Consider the following 2,798-nt stretch of genomic DNA (forward strand, 5'->3'; position numbering starts at 1 on the left):
CCTGTCTTCTAATTTAGGATCATCAAATTAAAAAAAATTGAAACGCTCTTCCCCACTCCTCTCCCAAAATTATCTTCTGGCAATATTTGTGGAGCTACAATTTGCACCTCCTGTGAAAGTCTTGAGACTCCAGACCTGGAGCTGCCAATTCAGGAGCCAAGGCGGATGAGGTCTGAGTGAGCTGTTGGACAGTACCTAGGAGGCCGTAGGAAGTGGTGTTGGGTCCTGTGGTAGACCAGCAGTTCTTTACATTTACATTTGCTACCTGTTAACATCACCCAGGGAGTTTTTTATTTTTTTATTTTTTTATGCCCAAGCTGCATTCCAGACTAATTAAAACAAAATCCTTGGGAGTGGAATTCAGGTATTACTATTTTTTTTTAAGTTCCTTGGGCAGTTTTAATATGCAGCCAAATTTAGGAACTAGTGAACTAAGCCAGGATTTCTCAATCTTTAATGTGCAGACAAATGACCTGGGGACCTTGTTAAAATACAGATTCTGACTCATCCTGTCTGGGGTAGGCCTGAGATTCTGCATTTTTGGTAAGTTCCTGAGTGCTGCTGATGCTGTGGGTCCTCAGACCACAGTATGACTAACAGGATGTAAAGTAGAGAGCTCAAGCAGCCTGAAAACTTTTTTTGCAGGGGGCAGGGGACTGGTCTCCTGTATGAACATAATTTGTGCCGACAATTCAAAATTAAGAGATTTCTCATAAAAATGGTTATTTCTGGTTTCTCTTAAAAAAAAAAAATGAAAGTGCCTACAATCCCCAGCTCTGCCTTTCCACACAGACTTGTGCTAAAGAGTGACTGCCCCACAGGAGGGGGTGCAGGTGACTCACCAGGGCAGGCTCTGAAATGCCTTTCCCTGCATTTGTTTATGAATAGGATGAATCTGTCTTTCATTTTTTCCATATAGACTGGCAAGTCGTCTTAGAACGCACAAGCGTACATGTGCGTCCACAGCAAAACCACGAAGTCAAAACACCAGATGATAAAGTGGAAAAGGCAAAAGGAAAAGGGAAAGAATAACAATTCTTTAAAAGTTACATGTGTTTATCAGTAAGGAAGGTTTTGGTTATATCAGAAACTTACTTGAGCTGTTTTAAGGGAAAAAATAAATGAGGGAGAGGCTGGGTGCAGTGGCTCACACCTTAATCCCAGCACTTTGGGAGGCCAAGGCAGGCAGATCACTTGAGGTCAGGAGTTTGAGACCAGCCTGACCAACAGGGTGAAGCCCTGTCTCTACTAAAACTACAAAAAATTAGCTGGGTGTGGTGGCGCACGCCTGTAGTCCCAGCTACTCTGGATGCTGAGGCAGGAGAATCGCTTGAATCTGGCAGGTGGAGATTGCCGTGAGCTGAGATCGCACCATTGCACTCCAGCCTGGATGACAGAGTGAGACCCTGCCTCAAAAAACAAAAACAAAATAAGTGAGGGAGAATTGTAAGCATAGAACGGTGCTCATGGACCCGTGATGCAGCAAGGCTTTCAGGGAAGAATAGAACCAGGGAGGGGCCTGGCTGTCAGCAAGGGGGACCCTTTCCTTGCTTTCATCTCACTCCTCTCTGGACATTCTCCTCCTCCTGTGTCTTTGCTTTCTCGTTCTCCAGTCCACACAGTAGAAAACACAGCCACCAGCAGTACCTGCGTTTACATACCAGGGGCCTTGCTATACATTCCCAATCCATATTCCTGAGGAAGAAATTATAATGGCTCAGCCTGGTAGAGGAGGAGGGACATCGCTGTTAACTGGGAGAACTGGAGGATGTCCAGCGAAGCTTCTGTTATGCTAAGGAAACTTATTGCAATTAAGCATAAACATTGAGCCATCCTATGTGGAGAGAATGAATGCGCTGAAATTCTAGAATGGCCCCAGCCCATCCCAGAGGCAGGGGATAGACAACGAGGTGTCTCGACTCCTTTGCTCCTATGGCATCTTTGCCTTTTGAAGGAGAATCTGTCCAGTTGCAGAGTCAACTATTTCTCAATAATGATAATAATAATAATAATCCTGAAGATGCAGCAAGACCAGCAGTGCTTCACTGATTTTTTTTCCTTTCCAAAAGGCATGCAGAGCATGATAATCACCTGAAGGCAGCAGCTCCTGACAGCCGGCTACAGGCTGGCTTTCATGTTGTGGGTGGCATTAGGTAGATAACCCACAGGAATCGTCTCTGGATCTGAGGTCAGGAGAACACAGCCAAGGCTACACAAGACAGAGAAGATTCTGCTGAATTTCAAAAGGTAGGAAACTGGGTTAAATGTGAAAATGGGAAGAGAGCAGAGGAAGATATTCATAAGCCAGGTTATTGAGAAAGAATGGTTTATAAGAGTGTGCACTTACTCCCCTATAATGAGGTCTGGGATTATCTGTAAAAACATTTAGCTCTGATTGTTTTAAAAGAAAAGATAAAATGCTTAATATGTGGCACCCTGGAGTGTGCCTTTGTGTGTGTGTATTTTAAATGATCATCCTAACGAAACACCTTTAATGTACAATGGATCGAATTATACAGCTTCCCATCAGAGAGTGCGAGGGAGAACAAAGCCTCAGATGTTGTACATTCAGACAATGAGGTGAGAGCAGATTTGAGGATAAGAGGAACTGAAGTGCCTCGTATAAGCCTGTATGAATGCTCCCATCTGGTCCTAGGACTCAACTATCTGACATTGGCAAAGATGTTTCATAATACATAGGGCCAAATGCTAAGTCTACCTTATAATTAAAAATATCCCCTAGGGCTCTTCCTTGAGGTCTGAGAAAATGTGATTATACTAAAAATTATATCACATAT

General features: G+C 43.6%; 1 annotated feature.

Annotated features, from left to right (window-relative positions):
- Positions 1,599-2,798: an enhancer, noted in NCBI's record as "CDK7 strongly-dependent group 2 enhancer chr16:47767625-47768824 (GRCh37/hg19 assembly coordinates)". NCBI's record gives its function as "activates an origin of replication core promoter dependent on BRD2, BRD4, P300/CBP, MED14 and CDK7 cofactors, with strong dependence on CDK7, by STARR-seq in HCT116 cells {active_cell/tissue: HCT116}" and the evidence as "EXISTENCE:reporter gene assay evidence [ECO:0000049][PMID:35650434]".

Source organism: Homo sapiens, chromosome 16 (genome assembly GCF_000001405.40).
Source record: "Homo sapiens chromosome 16, GRCh38.p14 Primary Assembly".
In the NCBI taxonomy this organism is placed as follows: Eukaryota; Metazoa; Chordata; class Mammalia; order Primates; family Hominidae; genus Homo; species Homo sapiens.